Genomic DNA, 20,980 nt, shown 5'->3' with positions numbered 1-20,980 from the left:
CACTTGTAGGACTTGGAACTTGTAATAATTTTCATAGTACCAATTCATGGTACCATGAATTGGCATTATTTTCTCCTCAGATGTTAATACCTACTGGTAGTTTGTAAGGTAGTACCTTTAATCAGCTAGGAAGCTCATCTTAACAGTATAAATTCTTTAAATATAAATTATGTATTTAAATACAAATTTAAATACAAATTATGATTAATTCATCATAAACAATGGAATCCTGTTCCTTTATTATGTTCCTCTTCAGTGGCTACCTTAACTGCAATTTATCTGAGTTATTTTTTTTTTTGTTCTCATCACAAAACAAGAAAAAAAAAAAAGGACTATACAGCAAAAAGGCCAAATGAATAAATTAGTAAATTAAGAACATTCATAGTTTTGGCCTTTGTTCTCTGATACAAAAGCAAAGATTTTAGCATTTGCCCTATTTCTTCTCATCTGTGAGATGCTATCTACACTAGAAAAAGAGTTAGTAGATTGGTTCCTAACTTGAGTCTTCAGTTCACAAATTGGCCTTAATAAAGAATATATGCCTTGCAGAGAACACACAGACCAAGTCAAGTAAATCCTAATGGCTGTATTCATCATCTCTGGTTTCATGCAGTAGAGACTTCAAATAACCGTGGAAGTTTAAATGCAGGAAATGCTGCAGCCCCATCTACTGGAGAGGTGCAGGTAACTGAGTCAATTTTTAATAAATTTATCCTTATGTGTGTAGGTAAGAACCTTACCTACATCTTTTCGTCCTGGTTTTTCAAAACGTCTGTCACCCCTGGAAAAGAAAAAATAAGTTTCAAACAAAGTCTCACAGTGATATAGATTTCCTATCTGTGACACTCACTTTCCCATTTTTCTAAAAGCATTTCTTCTTCAAATTACAAAACAAATAAATACATAGTTATTGCCTAATATTTCGAAAATATAGAAAAGCACAAAGATAAAAAGAAAAATATCCATCCCCTCACCTACCAAAAGCTGTTTCTATTGACCCAAAATATTATTTTTTAAATTAGATACATAGTATACAGTTTTATATACTGCTCTTAGAATGTGTTTTCCCACATCATTAAATATTTTCAAAAACACCTCTAATGCTCATATTAATATCCTACTTTGTGGATATACAATTATATAAGGCCAACATCAATCTGTTTGGCTTATTTCAAATTATTTTGTATTATAAATATCATCATAGTGAACATTCTTGTACAGATATCTTTGTGCAATTGCCCCCACTCATCTTGACAGACTTCATATAAAGCCACAAACAATATAGAGAGAAGATACTTTTACTAATACCAACAAACAATAACATGACAATTTGGTATTTGCTATCAAATACCAAATCAAATTAACTATGCTGGCACTCATATATTAACCTATCTATCTAGAATCCGTCTTCCTTTAAATAAGAATCATTTAAAAATTTCTAATGTACAACTTGATGTTCAATACTTAAGAGCATTTTTTAAAATGAAACCCTTTAACTGTACAAAAACATTTCTCCCCGCAGAAAGCAAAAAATATAAGTTTTATATGCCAAGAAATTTTTATGCCAATATGTGGATCCAGTTACCTTTCCTCCCAGCTCTGCGATCTATGCATTTCTCTGCCACCTCCTCGACCAAAAACACCCTCTACTTCATCAAAACTTCTTTGGTAGAAACCACATTCACCTCTGCCTCTGCCTGAAAATAAGAAAACAGAAAAAAATGATAGTCAGATGTCAACATGTGGCACACATTCACCACCATAAATTAATATCTAAAGTTCTATCTCTATACAAGGCAGGACATCTACATTTAAATACTGAACGAGGCCTGATGATCTTGACTTATGAGACCAACAATGGCATTGAAGTAGCTGGACCACAAGAGGCTGAAAGAAACAAGTTAAAAAAACTAACATAATATAATGCAATAGACCCAGTCCTGAACAAGAAAGTATCAACTTTAAGTTCTTTAACGAACAGTTGAATAGTGAAATTCTAAGAAGTTCAATAAAACACTACCGTAGATTAAATATTTTATTGTTTTATTTTCATAAAAATGGAAGAAATCTTGGTTTAGAGAGTTTAAGAAGACAGGGGCTAAAGTTAAAAAGTCAAGCATAAAAGTTAAAATAATTTATCTAATCCCAGAGAAAGGATAACTTAATAGCATCAATTCTAAAACCATCAAACCTCATGAATGCCATACAGGGTATATTACAGAGTAACCAAAGGTACAGTTTACTCTACACCCAAATCTTGAAGTTAAAAAGAAATGTATCAGGACTAAACTTGAACCAACAAAGCTGGTAGAGTGTCTGGGCATAGGGATTGAGAGGCTCTCTCTGGTGGTTCAAGCATAAACTGGCCTTTACTGAAGGCAATTTGGTTAGATCTATTGACATTTGATTCAACAATTCTACTTAGGATTTATCCTAATAGAAATAGTTGTACAAAAATGCAAATATATATGAAGATGTTCACTGTAATTAAAAAAAAAAACTAGAAATCTAATCAATAAAGGATTAGCTACATAAATTCTGATAAAATACAGTAGAACACTATGATGCCACAGCAGATTAAGCACGGACATTATTCTGTTCAATAACAAGAACATACTGAAGAATGATGCATATAAAAATTATTCCATTTATATAAATGATATAGCTGCACCGTTAGGGTCAAGAAGGCTATATATCCAATTGTTAGGTCTGGAGGCAGAAGACCGTATGCACTTTTAGCTTCATACTTTATGTACAGTTTTCCCAACAAACATTTGTATTCAATACACAGGTGAGAAAATGAGAGGAGGGGAGGAGGGGTGGGGGTCCAAGGATGTATTTGTAACTAGGTGAAATCTTAGCCATCGTCCCTAGCTCAATTTTTCTCACAGTGCACAATGACCCAAAGAAAAATGATGGATCTTGATGAATGCATCCCAAAGCTAAATATAATTGAGCTAATTACTTCAAATATCCATGCAGTATTTCTATTTCTTGTTTGTAATTTATCAAGAATTAACTCAGAATACACTTGTACTTTTATATGACTATATTATGAAGTATCAAAATAATGCACCAAATTATTTTGTGGGTAATCTTAGAAACAATGGATACCCTCTTGACGAGTGCAAGTATCCACTTCTTCATTTGTCAAACGGAAGTGAGAAGCACGGTGGAACTATAATAAAGTTACCCTTCCACTTGTGTCAACTTCACTTAAAGTCAACTCACAGTTTAAGTACTTCTCCCCTTCAGGAAATGTATACACTGTATTTAAGATCCTAAAATAATGTAATATAAATTGTCATATAACGCATGTCCTCTACAAGGAAGATTTTAGGATGGGGGCAAAAGTCTCCTCATCTTTTAGAGAAAGCCATTTGCTCAGGAAGGCCCTTACACTTGTATCACCTTGAAGAAAATGTTTTATTCCAGAAACATATAAATATAAAAAATAGCCTCCAGCTTACCAGAAAGACAAGCAAAACACATATAAAATATTTTCTCAGTTATAACTAGCACTGACACCGGTCCTGCTAATGATACTAAAACTTTAGGGTGGGACATACTACAACGATCAGGTTCTAAAGCTTTCCAACTTGGAAAAATTTTAATCTTCTATAAAGTGGTTCCCATACATGAATAAGGAAGTAAATATAACATGATGAACCTATCGTAAGGCTCAATTAAAGAACTGTTCTACTAAGAATTCACCCTATTCTTTTTGGGAATTAAAACATACTTCCTTTTAATAATGATGAAGACAATAGTTGAGAGCTCTGTCAATCTGCTTTATTTTTAAACAACCTAACCAAATAAAATGACAGTTTCATGTTGTTCTTACCACCTATTTAGTTTATTTAAATTTTACTAGTACATGATATTTAGCAGCCTGGAAATCAGTCAATTTCCACATCAAAGTTTCCTAAAGTTGCAAACAGCCAAGATAATCATCTAGTGTTAGCTCTGCCTATACAAAGAAAAGCCACAATAATCATTATTTAACCAGCAAGTTAAAATTAAGTAATGAGTGGAAAACACAAAACCACAGATTATAATTACAACCTTCTTTCAGAAAATGAGCTACTGAGATCATTAAGAAGAATCACGGGTGGTTGAGATAATGTTAAAAGTACTTTTCACACCAAGTCAGTTCAGTCACTTGACTAGTTTCGTGCCATTCTTCAACATTAATATGTAAATAAAGTCATGACTTCTTACATATGTCACATCTATCTTTTTTACATAGCCTGATTAAATTCTGAATGTAAGCTTTCTATCATATGTGATAACCCTTCATTTCAAAGAAACCAAAAAGCAAGGAGAAATTCAATCATAAACCAAAAAGCAAGGAGAAATTCAATCATTCACTTGTTTCTAGATTAAGTAATGGCGGGGGGCGGGGGGTGCTGTTCAGAGATTGGTTGGTATTTGCAGCACACAAAAGTCGGTGTTATTCACACTTCTTCACCAAGAAGATCTCTCCCTGGCTTGCCCTGAAAAGCACTGGAGGCAAAGCTGCCCAAGTACAACCTCTCCTTGCTACCAACCCACAGCAGAAAAACACAGGAAATGCCCAAGCAGCAGGCCAGAGCCATAAGTGGTCAGTCCCAACTCGAAACCACCACCATGCCACCAAGATGCATGGATCTCAAATTCTGGACCAATGGAACCTAACTCGGTGTATGAATCTGAACTGCCTGTGGAGCTTTTGAAGCACACACATGCCTAGATCCCACCACCCAAAATTTTGTTGCACAGGTATTTCCTTTAAGTTTTACAGATTAGTCTAACATCTCCTCAGGTTAAAAAAAAAAATATTCTCTAAAGATGGACAAATAAAGCCAGAGGGAAAAACACAACTATGTAATAGTACCTAGCAAAACAAGTGGAGACTTTTAATCAGACACTTCACACCTGGATTCCCACATTCTGAGTGGACTACTAAAAGAAATCTCTTCCCAGGAATGCACAATTGAATGCATTTTCTAGAGAGACTGTAGATAAATTACTCTATTTATAAAGAATTTAAATACTCTATACTCATGATCATGCCAATCTTGGTGGTACAATATGCAGAGACAATGGTCTCACTCATTGCAGACATCCAATTCTTCCATTTCTAAAGCATCTCTTACAGAAAATCACAAGGTGTATTTAGACCACTGTTATGATTTAGTCAACGTAAGAGCTACATGATTAAGCAAATATTCATATTACAAATATTTAAGAATGTCGTCATATAGGAGAAAATCAGCAAACCCAAAATAGGGGGCAGATATCAAAGAAACAAGTAATATCAAAATAAGAACTATTTTTCCAAGACAAAAATATGTAAAACTATAGGTTAAATAAATGAATGTGGCAGAATTATCTTTTTTTCTACCCCTAAATGTCCTAGTCCTGATGAGGCAGTTTTTGTTAAAGCCCCTCTCTGGCTGGAGAAGCTCTTGGCACACGCCCCTCACACAGAAACTGTCACAGAGGACTGCAGGTACTTCAGTGCTGCTTCCATAGTTAAGACACTTCAGGAGTCGTTGGCTCCCAGAGTGTAAGGCTCTCCAGGGATGAGGAACATGGATCTGTTGGAGTGAATTGGGACTGTCTAGACTCCCTCATGTTCAAATCTGTACAGCTAGAATTATACTCTTCTGCTCCAAATCAGGGATTATAGAGGAGATACCTCTAAAAAATGGTTCTGAATATAAATATTCAGGACATTTAGTATGCAGTTAATGTCAAAGAACAGTTTTTATTAAATCAGGCATTAAAATATTTTAAAAGTAAGTTCTCTATCCTCCTCCTCCTCCTCCATTATTACTTTTTTCATATGAAAGCTCACCTCGCCCTCTTGAAGAACTTCGACCTCTAGGAGCCCCCACCACTGTTCCTCCTCCTCCTCGTCCTGTCAATCGCAGGACAGCAGCACTATTTACAGACATGGAAAAGTTTCTCTGCCAAAAAAAAAAAAAAAAAAAAGAGAAAAAGGAAAAAAAGAAAGAAAAAAATGGATGAAACAGATAAAACTACATGTTGCTTCTCCCCACATTCCTACTGCATCTATAAAAAGGCATCTAATTACTACTAGCAATGGAAAACCATAACTGCACAACATACGAAATGATCCAAAACTTGATTTTACCTGATAATTGCAAATTAACATTTCAGATCAACAAAATTGACAACCAATGTCTTACACTATGCTAGGTTTGGTGAGGAAATAAGCAAACAAACTAAACACTCTATATATACACAAGTAGATAGGGAAAATACATAACAGAATAAATACAGAAAATTTTACAAAAGAGATCTGGTTTGAAAGGGTCCTGTAAGCCTTTAACTGGTGAAAAGTGGAAATGAAAGGGAGTTACCAAAAGGTCTGATGCGAGAGTAGGACATTCTGCACATCAATGTGAATTAGCAACTCCAAGTAGTATTCAACAGAATGACAGGAATCATAAGTGAATGGGAAAGGGCCAAGGATCTAAACAAGAGCAACCATCTAAATAACACATTAATGGGAAGACGAAGGGAATACTTAATAAGTTAAAGTAAAACCCAATCACTCAGTTATTAACCTGCATTTGCACCACAGCCAATCTGGAACAGGGTCAAGTAAAAAGAGATAGTGGAGTGCACCTTTGGTATGTCTGTAGCCAAGGGTTCTCCTGGCAGAGAGAAAACCTTAGGCTTAAGAGTCAAGGTAAAAGGCCAGGCGTGGTGGTTCATGCCTGTAATCCCAGCACTTTGGGAGGCCGAGGCAGGTGGACATGAGGTCAGGAGTTCGAGACTAGCCTGGCCAAGATGGTGAAACCCTGTCTCTACTGAAAATACAAAAATTAGCCGGGCGCGGTGGCAGGCACCTGTAATCCCAGCTACTTGGGAGGCTGAGGCAGGCGAATTGCTTGAGCCCAGGAGGCAGAGGCTGCAGTGAGCCGAGATCATGCCACTGCACTCTAGCCTGGGCGACAGAGCAAGACTCCGTCTCAAAAAAACAGAAAGAAAGAAGTAAGGTAAAAAAGAATCCTGCAATTCAACTAATATTTTAGTCCAAACTGGTTTCCACTAACTTTCTATTTTGATTCAAAATCCACTGAAATATGATGTCTATACCACCTTCTTTTGAAGAAGTCAACATCTAATCGTTAAAAAACTTCTACTTTCATTATTAAATGTGTTGTAATAAATAGGTCATTTTCTCCTAGCTAGTTTTTTCAGAATTTTATTCACAACAATTTGTTTGATAAGTTTTAGGAACTTTATCAGTGTAAATAAGATTTTTTTTTTTTTACTTTATAGGTATATAATCATATAATCAAGTAACATCAAAACTAAAGACTTAAGATATATTTGACAACTAAAAATAAAAGACACCAAACTCAAAAATTATATTTCTATTTCAAACTATAATAAAATGTACTTAATAAAAAAGAAAACTGATTGAAACATATATATTAACTTACCTTTTAGCACAGAGTAAGCAGTGGGGTACTAAATAATGTCTCTGGGTATTACTATAATTAAACAACAGTATGAGGTCCCAAAATACAGATTAATATATTCTAATATTGAAATAATTGTGGTCAGAGCTAACTGCATTATTATGCTAGGATCCCATGCAGTTGAACACCTGTCAACCAAACTATCACATATATAAAACTCAAATGCACCCATTTGTATGTGTGGGGACACACTCATATATTTTCACAAACTCTCATACATTGCTGATGAAAGTATAAACTAGTATAATCTCTATAGAAGGCAATTTCTAAAAATTATTTAAATGCCCATCCCCTTTGACACAACAATTCTACTTCTTACCCATGTAAAAAATTAACATAAACAGAAAGATCATTAACTGCAGTACTGCTCATAAAAGCAAAAATATGGAAGCCATCTATGTATTAGCCAATCCTAATTTAAAAATCATGGTCCTCTACATGTAAAATTCTGTACTGCTGATTAAAAAAAAAATGAAACAACTCTATTTCTTTTTTTTTTTTCTTTTTTTTGAGACGGGGTCTTGCTCTGTCATCCAGGCTGGAGTGCAGTGGCACGATCTCAGCTCACTGCAACCTCCGCCTTCCAGGTTCAAGCGATTCTCCTGGCTCAGCCTCCTGAGTAGCTGGGACTACAGGCGCATGCCACCATGCCTGGCTAATTTTTTCTATTTTTAGTAGAAATGGGGTTTCACAGTGTTGGCCAGGATGGTCTCAATCTCCTGACTTTGTGATCTGCCCGCCTCGGCCTCCCAAAGTGCTGGGATTACAGGTGTGAGCCACTGTGCCGGGCCACAAATCTATTTCTTAGGCAGAATCATGTGATAACAAAAACTGCAATGTCCTATGGTCAACCTAATATATAGAGACATGGAGCATACTTGTAATTAGGAACACGGAGAGGCCAAACTCCCTGGGACTGAATTCTGGCCTCTATACTCAACTTCTCTGAGCCTCATTTTCCTCATCTATATAATGTAGACAGGGATATTTTTATCTACCTCACGGGTGACTGCAAGCACGCAACACATTAAATGTTAAGTGCTTAGAACAGTGTCTAATACATACTAAAAGCTAGTATGCCATTATCTCTTAGATGCTTAGGTTAAAACTGTAAAGTGCCAGGCACGGTGGCTCACACCAGTAATCCCAGCACTTTGGGAGGTCAAGGCAGGCAGATCACTTGAGGCCAGGAGTTCGAGACTAGCCTGGCCAACACGGCAAAACACCATCTCCACTAAAATTACAAAAAATGGCCAAGGATGGTGGCAGATGCCTGTAATCCCATCACTTTGGGAGGCCAAGGCAGGCGGATCACTTGAGGTCAGGAGTTGGAGACCATCCTGGCCAACATGGTGAAACCCCATCTCTACTAAAAATACAAAAATTAGCCAGGCGTGGTGGCGGGCGTCTATAATCCCAGCTACTCAGGAGGCTGAGGCAGAAGAATTACTTGAACCCGAGAAGCGGAGGTTGCAGTGAGCCAAGATCACACCACTGCACTCTAGCCTGGGCAACAGAGTGAGATTCTGTCTCAATAAATAAATAAATAAATAAATAAATAAATAAATAAATAAATACTGTCAAGTGTAGAACTGTGTGCACAGCATGCTACCATTTATGTGTGTGTGTGTGAAATAGTGTTTAAGGGAATATACAGATAGTTGTAGACACCATAAGCACCCCTGAAGTGAATACAAAAAAAATGGAAATAGTGGTTATTTCTGAGGAAGAGTAATAAGTGGCAGAGTTTGGGTGAGTCACAGACTTGCTTTTCATTATGTGCTTTTTGAATTTTGTTAGGTATATATACAAGTATTATCAAGAATGAATAAATAGGCCAGGCGCGGTGGCTCATGCCTGTAATCCCAGCACTTTGGGAGGCCGAGGCAGGCAGATCACGAGGTCAGGAGATCGAGACCATCCTGGCTAACACGGTGAAACCCCGTCTCTACTAAAAATACAAAAAATTAGCCGGGTGCAGTGGTGGGCACCTATAGTCCCAGCTACTCGGGAGGCTGAGGCAGGAGAATGGCGTGAACCCGAGAAGCAGAGCTTGCAGTGAGCCGAGATCGCGCCACTGCACTCCAGCCTGGGCAAAAGAGTGAGACTCTGTCTCAAAAAAAAAGAATGAATAAAGTAACTTCTTTGATGTCAAATAAATAAAATACACCAGTCTTGTAACAGCTACCTAAATTGCAGGTGTAATGCATTTTTTTCTCACTATATTTGATACACAGATACATGGAGGGAGAAGGAGAATGAGTATGTCAGTATACTTTAAAAATACGTATTTCAGGTAACTTCAGCAAACAAGACATGCAGCAAGAAGCCTGCTTTAAGTTATTAAAGTATTTACCTCCCTAGAAGTACCAAAAGAAAAGGTATACAAAACTCTAGTCTAGGAAGATCTAGTCAATACTAATCTCTGAAGGGGTACCTGATCATTCAAAGGACAAACATCAAATTTTTTATGAATTTTTTGCCAGCTTTAAGCACTGTCCTATTCCAACATATTTGGTAAATGATAAAGGCTACCAAATATGCATCAGGAAATCCCAAATGGTGCATTTTAAATGCCTTCAAAACGGATCTGATGATCTTCTGTGGCCACAGTGAAAACCTCCCAATCCTTGCATCAAGACGCTGTGATCACAGAATACAGACCTTAAGATAAATATTTCTATCATAAGAACAAAATTAAACATATTCCTTTAGTTGTTCTAGAACTAATTTTGGTGTATAGGTGTAGTGCATACCTAATTTTACTCTTCTCTAAATTGTTAACCAACTATTACTGGTTAACTGCAGTTAACCAACAGATCCCAAGCAACATTTGCAAAATAATGTTTGATTTTCCAAACGATTTGTGTACTTACTACACACTAATTTCTTTAAAATGTTACAAGATGTTTCTGGGTAATTCAATTATTCATTCTGTTGAATAAAAGTCTACCACATTTTGGTAACTAGTAGCATGTCCTCTTCCCTCTTCTGATATATTTAGTCTCTAAGAAATCTAGGAAATCATTTAAAGAAACATAAAAAGGAATTTTTAAAAATAATATATAAATAGCTAAAAATTAAAAGAATAATCACAAAAGAATAAAACTGGTATATGAAGCTCATAAAATTAGCCTTTTTATTTAAAATCATAATGTGGCCAGGCATGGTGGTTCACGCCTGTAATCCCAGAACTTCGGGAGGCCAAGGCAGGAGGATTCACTTGAGCTCAGGAAGTTTGAGACCAGCCTGACCAACATGGTGAAACCCTGTCTCTACTAAAAATACAAAAATTAGCCAGGCGTGTTGGTATACGCCTGTAATCCCAGCTACTCAGGAGGCTGAAACACAAGAATCCCTTGAACCCAGGAGGCAGATGTTGCAGTGAGCCGAGACTGTGACACTGCACTACAGCCTGAGTGACTGAGCAAGACTCAGTCTCAAAGAGACAAAGAAAAAGAAATAAATAAAATCATAAATGCAATTTTAACATTTAGAAAACTTACTGGGCACAGCTATGGTCAATGACTTTAAAATATGAGGAGCCAGACCAGGCATGGTGGATCATGCCTGTAAGCCCAGCACTTTGAGAGGCTGAGGTAGGAGAATCGCTTGAGGCCAGGAGTTCAACACCAGCCTAGATAACAGAGCGAGATCCTGTCTCTACAAAAAACGAAACTAGCCAAATGCAGTGGCATGCACCTGTACTCCCAGCTATGCAGGAGGCTGAGACAGGAGAATCCCTTGAGCCCAGAAGTTCAAGGTTGTAGTGAGCTATGATCATGCCGCTGTACTACAGCCTGGGTGACAGAGTGAGACCCTCACTATACTCCAGCCTGGATGACAGAGTGAGAACCTAGCTCAAAATAGAAAATCTAAATAAGTAAACAAAAAATACACACACACACAAACATACACACACACACACACACACACACACACAGAGCTCATATAAATAGCATAAATCAACAAGGAAAAGATGAATATCCCAAAAGAAAAATTGGCAAAGGCAAGAAAAAAATTAACAGAAATATAAATGATGAATAAACATCTGAAAAACAACTGTTTACTGCTACAGGCAAAGAAATGCAAACAAAAACGATGGGAAAAAATTTTTCCAAATCTTCAGGGAAGTCTTTCAATAAAAATACTTGATGTTGGAAGTACAGAACCGTATCACTTGTATTAAAAGGCGGAAAATATATTTCCATATTTACTTGGAAAAATACATAAGAAATTGCTAACACTTGCGGCCTCTGGGAAAGGGAGCAGCTGGCATGGAAAGGATTAAAATATTAGTTGAATTGCAGGATTCTTTTTTACCCTAATTCCTAGGGCTCAGTTTTTACCCCTCTGCCAGGAAGACCTTTGGCTACAGCCATGTCCAAGGTGCATTTTCCTCTGTGTATCACACTTCTGCATTTTTGTACCAAGTGTACAGAAGGTATTCAAGTAAAGGACATATGCCAACATTTTGTTTCTTTTTTTTTTTTAATGGAGTCTCACTCTTTGCCCAGGCTGGAGTGCAGTGATGCAATCTCAGCTCACTGCAATCTCTGTCTCCCGAGTTCAAGCGATTCTCCTGCCTCAGCCTCCCAAGTAGCTGGGATTACAACCGTGTGTCACCATGCTCGGCTAATTTTTTTATTTTTAGTAGAGATAGGGTTTCACCATGTTGGCCAGGCTAGTCTCGAACTCCTGACCTCAGGTGATCCGCCCACCTCGGCCTCCCAAAGCGCTGGGATTACAGGTGTGAGTCATGCGTCTGGCCCCAACATTTTTGTCGTTCAAAATTTCATAGTTTAAAACCCTCTTGAAAAATTCTCTTTCCAATGCCCAGGATTTTAATATTTCATAGAGTATTTGAAAAGATTTTTATTACTTCTTGCTTTACCTTTTCCTTAAGAGTCAAAAAGATGTATTTTTGGCTCCCTGGATTCTCTTCTTCCCGTATGGATGCCCATAAAGTAACATTCAAGCTTTCCAACAAGGCTTATTTTTCCATTTTTCTACAGTTATCATAAGTTCCTTGAAATCAGAAACTCTTTTATTTTCTTTGCACAGAACAAAATACACTATAAACAGGAACAACACTAAATTCGCTACTTTCCAGCCCACAAGTTTTACTTTCTCACATCACTCTCTCTCTCACACACACACAGACACACACACACACACATTGGTGACAGAAGAGTTTTGAATGCATTTTGAACTGAAGATCTACATTTTTCCCTTAGTGGTAAAATGCACCGGTAAGAATTCAGGTTGGCAATTACTTCTGAAAATCTGTTTATTTGCAAAGATGATTTTCTCCCCTCCCCAAGAATCACTCTTCCTCTCTACTTGAGTAAGTTTTAAAGGATGGTTCCCAATGTCCTTAAGGATCTACAAACGTTTCCAAATAATACTCAAAAGCTACAGATACTACAGCAAAATCTAGTCAACTAATAAGCATCAACATACCAAGAAATAGAAGAAAGCAGACCTATGAGGATGCAGGATAATCCTTAGAGCATAAATAGTAACTTCCTATTTTCATGCCTTAGCAGGAAAAGAATAAGAGTTTGCTGGGGCTCAGAGCTAATCACAAACCTGTTCTTCTTCTGTAAAGGGTACCAGAGCCAATGGTGGAAGGGGTTCCTCCTGGAGGATAGGCAGAAATTCTTTATCCAGAAGGTCTGAAGGTATCTGTAGGACCAAACACATGATTATGAGATTAATGCTATTTCTGCAATAAGAAGAAATACAAGAAGATAAATCCAAGAAAGAATACTCTTCTATTTATTGTTGATTATTATAAATACAGATTAATGCTTATTCAGCCATAATTGACTTCTATAGTCCTTATACATTTTGAGAGAGTCAATATTAAAAACCCCAGTCAATACTCCCCAGCTTCTCAAGTGATTGCCACTTTTGGATTTAGCACTAACTCTGCTATACCAGAGCACAAAGTAGAGGAATAAAAGTCTCTACATTAAATGCAAAGCAGAAGATGATAAGGAGAGTTTTATAAGCAACTGTATGTGTCCTTAGCAACCATCATTAAAATCTGAAATTCTCGATCACTGAAAAACAAAGTATACTGGAGGTGGGGCATTGTGGCTCACGCCTGTAATCCCAGCACTTTTGGAGGCCAAGGCAGGCAGATCACTTGAGGGCAGAAGTTGGAGACCAGCCTGGCCAACATGGTGAAATCCCATCTCTACCAAAAATACAAAAAAATTAGCCAAGCGTGGGAACGCATATCTATAATCCCAGCTACTCAGGAGGCTGAGGCACAAGAATCACCTGAACCTGGGTTGCAGAGGTTGCAGTGAGATGAGATCACGCCACTGCACTCCAGCCTGGGTGACTGAGCCAGACTCTGTCTCAAAAAAAAAGTATATTGGGAAAAAATACAAAATATTATTTCTTACTAGTCAGTGAGTAAGATAAAAGTCATAACAAAAGTATATTTTACACTGTTTCAGTTTTGATCTAAGTGACACAAATGTAGTGTTACATTTTAAGGTTTTGTCTCCACTGAAAATTTTATATAGCCGAAGGTGCTCCTCCTGTTGGCTCTTTATTTTTAAGTGGCAAGTAGGATAAGAGGTACAATAAAGAGAAAGGAAAAATTCTTCATTTCTTAGCCACTGAACTAGGATACAAATAGACATGAAAGGGGGGTTAAGAGGAAGTTAGCTAGAGAAGGCAGTAAGTGCTGACTACTCTCCTGTTTCCATGAAGCTGCCTAAAATATAGTGTGTGATAACACTTAGAAGATCCTCTGTTAACTATTGCAGGCTTCAAAGCAGGGAAACAGTTAAGGTGGAAAGGCATGGGTCAATACATTAGTAAAATAAATCAGTTTTCATGTATCAGTACATCATGGTATATATCCCAAAGTCTCATTCACAATTTTGAACTCTTTTCCTACTTTCTTACCTTGTTGTCTTTAAGGAAAAGTGCTAACATTTCTTCTCTGCCGTAACGATAATCTGCTAATTTATACTTCGGCAATGCTGGAGAAAGAGGAGGGGATGTAATACTCCCACCACTGGACAGAGCTCGGAGCCTAGAATAGAAAAGACAGAGAATATGTCAAACATTCTGGTGCTACAGACTTTTTATACTATACACTGTCAAAAAAAATTCATTTTAGTTCTTTAGAAGAGCAAAAAGAAATCCTACTATCTCAAAGTATCAGACTTTAGCTTTAATACAATCTTTTGTCATGGCACGCTAAAAGGGCAGTTTATTGAGAGATAACTAGACAACCATGTGGCAATTCCTTAACTTAAAAGGCATCACGGCTATGTCCCCCAGAAGCTTAGAGAATGAAAAAGGGACACATTTTTCCAAATTTTAAAAGGCGCATATGATTAAAACAAAAGTGAGATACTACCTTACACTCACTAGATTCATAAAACTTAATAAGTCTGATAATACCAGGTGTTGGTAAGGATGTAAAACAATGGAAACTTTCAAGTAGTGTTTGTGGTATTATAAACTGAAATAATCACTTCAAAGAATGATTTGATAATAGCTAATTATTTAATTATCTATTTGGCAATTTGGTAATAGCTAAAATATTTAATAAAGTATGCTATACAAAAGAAAAATCAAAACACAGCCTATAGTAATGATAATTTTTATATAAAATGCATAAACCTGCAGCTAGGTTTATACTGTTTCAAGACATACAAACTGCAGCAAAAGCATAGAAACAAACATGAAATTGACAAATACAACATTTAGAATAAGGTTATATCTGCAAAAGATTAAGATTATAAAGGCAGCTTTAATTGTACCTACAATGTTTTATTTTTGTAGCTTGCCAATGAATACATGGGTGTTTATCACAATTTATATTTTTATATGCCTGAAATATTTCACAACGTTTTTAATAAAAGCAATTAATGGTCAGTGTAGAGAATCTGAAAATGCAGTAAAGTACAAAGAGAAATTGAAAACTACATGTACTGCTAAGAAGACAAATAAAAAATATACTCCAAACTGATAAGAAAAGTTGCCTCTAAAGAACAGAACTTGGGGAAAAGGGACTATTTTGTTTAATTTTAAAATAATATATTTTTATGGGGAAAAAGGGAAGAAAACTTCAGCAAAAAATGGCGAGTAAGATTCTACTGTAGCACTGTGTCAGACAGCAAGTGGAAAAACTAACATCAGGAGTAGCTGATATCAAGCATGAAAGGGACCAAGCTACTTTAATTCTAGTTTAGACTAAGGAAAAATTCAATAGAAGCATTGAAATATGTGCCCAAAACTGCTAAGCTTTATTCACAAAGCAAAAAAGAAGGGAATAATCTACTAAATTATGACACATTAAATATTAATATGAAGGCCAAGTAAAACACAGTAAATATGTGCACATTATTAAAAATAGCGTATGCATAGTAAACAGTAAAATGTGTTTACAAGAATAAAGTAATATTTAAAGAAAAAATATGCATTAGTAAAGTGAGACTGTTGGGGTGGGATTTTTTTTTTTTACTTATTGTGGAAAATTTTTTGTATTTTCATAAATGCACCAAAAAGCAGATGACAAACTCCCGTGTAATTTTTGTATTTTCTGTAGAGACAGGGTCTCACTATATTGCCCAACCTAGTCTCAAACTCTGGGCCTCAAGCAATCCTCCCACCTTGGCCTCTCGAAGTGCTGAGATTACAGGCATGAGCCACCATGCCTGACCCAAAACATTTTTTTAAAGTCTGGGTTTTGCTGATTTTATCCATGATATAATTAAACATTTTTCTGTCTTTTGCATTTCATGTAAACTGGTGACTGAGTATAGAGATTTTGAGATTTTCATCAATTTGGGTTCTTTTTTGGCAATACTTCGTATGTAGTGGTATGTTATTCCATCAAGAGGCACACATTGTGATGACGTGTTTGTGATACTTGCAGTAATTTATGATCAATGCTTGGTTCCCTAAGTTCACTAAGGTTGTAAGTGATTATATTCTTTCATTCCTCCCTTATGTATTAGCTGGAATACTTCTGCAAAGATAAATTTTCCTCTTATACTACCTGGTATAGTTACCAAATAATACTGCTTAATACAAGAAAGGAGGGAAAAAGCCTTAATTCTTATTTGTTTTCAAAATAACGACTAGGTTCACTTGCACCTTCCAACAGTGTCCAACAGTAACACATTATTTTATTAATATATTTCAATTCACAGCAATTATTAACAGTGTTCAAACTGTCTCATCTTTGAAGAGTGGGAGACTCTTCAGGTTGGCTCCTGGGTCCTTTTGACATGACCCTAGCAGTCTTCAACAGCTTCTTTTCTATCTGGTATGTCAGAATGTTCCAGGTTCATCTTGTATTTTTCTTGCCTCAGACCTGAAATCAATCATTTCCAGGGAGCCCTGGATTCACTTTCATTTATAGAAATACCACAACCTGGGTTCTGGGACTGCTCACTGCTACTCTGTTTCCTTTGCAAATATTCTTGGGCTTGGAGGTCATTTAGTTCAACCCCCATAAAACAAGTTAAACAACCAGGTAAGCAAACAACATACCCACAAAGGAATGGTCCAATCACTCCTTCCAAGAAGAAAGGAACTACCCCAGTACCTTCCAAGAAACTGCTTTTTATTAGATTCCTGTAAAGTTGGGCTCTTTACTGAAGAAGTGGAATTAATATCCACTGAACACTGAAGCTGAAAATTTCACACGTGAACTAGCTCATTTAATCTAATTTAACCTTCACAACAACCCAAACATAACAGATAAAAATAAAGCTGAAGGGTTAAACAACTTGTCCACAGTCACGGGCAGCAGAACAAAGATTCAAACCTAGGTTTTTATTACTAAAAAGACCACAATTGACCGGTTGCAGGTTAGCTCACACTTGTAATCCCAACACTTGGGAAGCTAAGGAGTGTGGATCACTTCAGTACAAGAGTTCAAGACCAGCCTGGGCAACACGATGAAACCCCATCTTGACAAAAAATACAAAAATTAGCCAGGTATGGTGGCTCATGCCTCTGGTCCCAGCTACTCAGGAGGCTGAGGTGGGAGGACTGCTCGAGCCTGGGAGGTCAAGGCTGCAGTGAACAGCCACTGCACTCCAGCCTAGGTGACAAAGCAAGACCCTGTCTCAAAAAAAAAAAGAAAGAAAGAAAGAAAGAAAAAAAAACACAATCTTTCCAACAATTAGGTCTCAAAATCCTATTTAAAATAGCCAGTTTAAAATATACATATATTTTATTAGAACTTGTTTTAAAATATCTTCCTTAACACCAAACCAACATGTTTCCCAACAGTTTCTACCACTGGAGTACACATCTAAGCACTCTTTCAAATGAAAATCATTCTGGTATTGGCAAATAATCACCATGTCTCCCCAAAGACTCCTTCTCATGGCCTAACATTCCTAATTTCTTCAATTGCTGCTCACAATAAGATTTCAAATGTATTCACCACCCTGTCCCTTCCAATGGATCACCAATGGTTTTCCAATGCCCAAGACTAAACATTTCTTATAGTCACCAGATTTATTAAGAGTAACACAGGCCAGGTGCAGTAGCCCATGCTTGTAATCCCAGCACTTTGGGAGGTTGAGGCAGGTGGATCACTTGAGACCAGGAGTTTGAGACCAGTCCAGGCAACACAGTGAGATCCTGTCTCTCCAAAAATAAAAAAAATTAGCAGAGCATGGTGGTGCACGCCTGTAGTCCCAGCTATTTGGAAGGCTGAGGTGGGAAGATCGCTTGAGCCTCAGGAGGTAGAGGCTGCAGTGAGCCATGATCGCAACACTGCATTCCACCTTGGCTGAGAGTGAGACTCTGTCTCCAAAAAATAAAAAATACAAAAATAACACAATAACACAATCAGAGATTTCCTTCAGGTGCTATGAAAAGAAACTGAGGCAAACTGGCAGTAACTCAAACTAAAAGACAGTTGCCTGAGTTAGGATAATGGCTGTACTATGATTCAATAATCGACAAATTCAATTCCAAGTCCCTCTTCACCTGCAGATACTTAGAAAAGCTAAAACATATTTGGGTAATATTCTTCACTAAAAATCCACCTGAGAACTCATGAACACAAAGAAGGGAATGATAGACACTGGGGTCTACTTGGGGGTGGAAGGCAGGAGGAGGGAGAGGAGCACGAAAAACCACTGGGTACTCGGTGTAACACTTGGGTGATGAAATAATCTGTACAACAAACCCCCATTGACACAAGTTTACCTACATAACCTTCACATGTACCCCCGAACCTAAAAGTTAAAAAAATCCACATATGATCTTTATCTCCTCCATACAACCCTCTCTTCTAGAAATTTAATCCCTATGTGCTTTCGTCTGTCTCTAAACATATCTCCTCATTTGTTTAAAACTTTTGATACAGCCATTTCCCTTCTAGCTATGCACTGTTCATCTTTCCTCTTCATCTAGAAACATCTCTACTTCCTCGCTTCTCAGTCACTTCAAAACGCAGTGTGCCTGGTTTCTCCTGCCACTCCACTAGCTCCTGCACTGTTCATCAATAACCTCAACACTGCCAATTCTACCATGGGTAGTAAATAAGTGGCAGCAGCAGGCCCCCCAAAGCCCCATGATACTCCCAAAATCTTCGCTTGGTAAGTGTTGTCCAAAATCCAAACTTCAGCTTATGAAAGCAATTTGGATAGTCAATAAACAATGTGTGAAGGTGTGGGAGTCAAAAGGCACTTCTATGTAAGCTTGTGATTCTCAAGTCCAGCTGTGACCTCTCCTATAGTCAGGCTTTCATACACAACCATGTAAAGCCCATCAGGTTCAATATGCCCAAAACCCTAACCCTACTCATCAACTTATTCATCCAACCCATTCACTGCCCATATTCTCAAACATAGTTAAGGACATCCCAATCTAATCAGCCACTGGATTAAAAATCTGGGATTCATACTTTACTCCTCACCTTCTACCATCTCTCATACCCAATTACCATGTCCTATTAGTTTTAAATCCTCAGTCTCTCAAGTCTTCCCCTGATCCAACTAACCTAATTTTTATTCACACTTTTATTTCCCACCTGGACTGCTGCAAATGCATCCTGAACGATTTTACTAGTCTTAATCTCCTACGTTACTAAGAACTATTTATTTATTTATTTATTTTTGAGACAGAGGCTCACTCTGTTACCCAGGCTGGAGTGCAGTGGCACTATCTCAGCTCAGCTCAGCTCACTGCAACCTCCACCTCCCAGGTTTAAGCAGTTCTCCTGCCTCAGCCTCCTGCGTAGTTGGGATTACAGGCACACGCCACCACACCTGGCTAATTTTTGTATTTTTAGTAGAGATGGGGTTTCCCCATATTTGTCAGGCTGGTCTTGAACTCCTGACCTCAGGTGATCCACCCGCCTCAGTCTCCCAAAGTGTTGGGATTATAGGGGTGAGCCACTGCGCCCAGCCCCAATTCTTTTTTCACTGGCACACAATGACCAATAAAACCCAAGCCTTGTTAACAGAAGGGCTGCCTCCAAGCTCTTATCTCCCACACTTCACATAATAAAGGTAAACATTATGCATCATGAAGTTCCTCTCTTAAATCAGTTCCTTGCCTTATGTTCACACACGTCCTTTCTGCTATCAGGAATATTCTTCCTAATCTTTTTCACCAACAGGGTAGAGAGAGGTGCTAGGAAGGAGATGTTAAGTGGGAAGGAGAAAGGAAGAATAAGGAGAGCTGGAAAGAGAGTCGGAGGAAGGGAGGGAAAAAGAGAATTTGAGATCCTCAAGGCCTTGCTAAACACAAGTTCCTGTCCAGCCTTCATGAAACTAAGAGGCTAGTAGAAGAATATAATAAAGTCATATAAGTGGACATAGAGATATTGAAGGATTTTAGAGAAGTCTTGATCTAATTTACATTTTAAGATTACTCTGCCTGCTGTGAGGAAAACAAATAGAAGACAAAAATGGAAGCCAGGGGCCAGGCACAGTGGCTCACATCTGTAATCCCAACACTGTAGGAGGCCAAGGAGGGCAGATCACTTGAGGTCAGGAATTCAAGACCAGCCTGGCCAATATGGTAAAGCTCCATCTCTACTAAAAAATACAAGTATTAGTCAGGCGTGGTGATGCATGCCTATAGTCCCAGCTACTTGGGAGCCTGAAGCAGGAGAATCGCTTGAACTCAGGAAGCAGAAGTTGCAGTGAGCCGAGATCACACCACTGCACCGCAGCTTGGGTGACAGAGTGAGATTCCATTTCAAACAAAAAAAAAGAAAAAAAAAAAAGGAAGCCAGGAAACATCAGTAGGCCACTGGTGCAAAAATTTATGTTAGAAATGGTGGCAACTTTCACTAAGGTGATAGCAATAGAGATTCAGAGAAATGAACAGATTCCAGAGATACTGTAGAGATAAAATTGACATGTTGTGACAGACCCGATATAGGAACAGAGAAGTAAAAGGAATTATCAAAGATAACTCTGAGACTGCTAGCTTGAGCAAACAGGCACATATACTATTAAGAT

The 20,980-nt window shown here is 37.6% G+C and overlaps 1 protein-coding gene across 5 annotated transcripts in view; it reads right to left on the bottom strand.

Annotated features, from left to right (window-relative positions):
* GIGYF2 (GRB10 interacting GYF protein 2) overlaps positions 1-20,980 on the bottom strand; it is a 163,275-nt gene that overhangs the window by 98,429 nt on the left and 43,866 nt on the right. For all 5 annotated transcript variants that reach the window (NR_103492.1, NM_001103146.3, NM_015575.4 and 2 more), the window contains 5 exons: positions 14,433-14,562; positions 13,095-13,190; positions 5,843-5,954; positions 1,586-1,697; positions 741-781 (listed from right to left, as the gene is read on the bottom strand). Coding sequence is in view for 4 of the 5 variants with exons in the window: in NM_001103146.3 (NP_001096616.1) it covers positions 741-781; positions 1,586-1,697; positions 5,843-5,954; positions 13,095-13,190; positions 14,433-14,562 (491 nt within the window). In the remaining variant the exon portion in view is untranslated. The remainder of the gene's footprint in view (positions 1-740; positions 782-1,585; positions 1,698-5,842; positions 5,955-13,094; positions 13,191-14,432; positions 14,563-20,980) is intronic.

The sequence above is a fragment of the Homo sapiens genome, chromosome 2 (assembly GCF_000001405.40).
Source record: "Homo sapiens chromosome 2, GRCh38.p14 Primary Assembly".
Lineage (NCBI taxonomy): Eukaryota > Metazoa > Chordata > Mammalia > Primates > Hominidae > Homo > Homo sapiens.
This window is presented reverse-complemented; position numbering and strand designations above follow the sequence as displayed.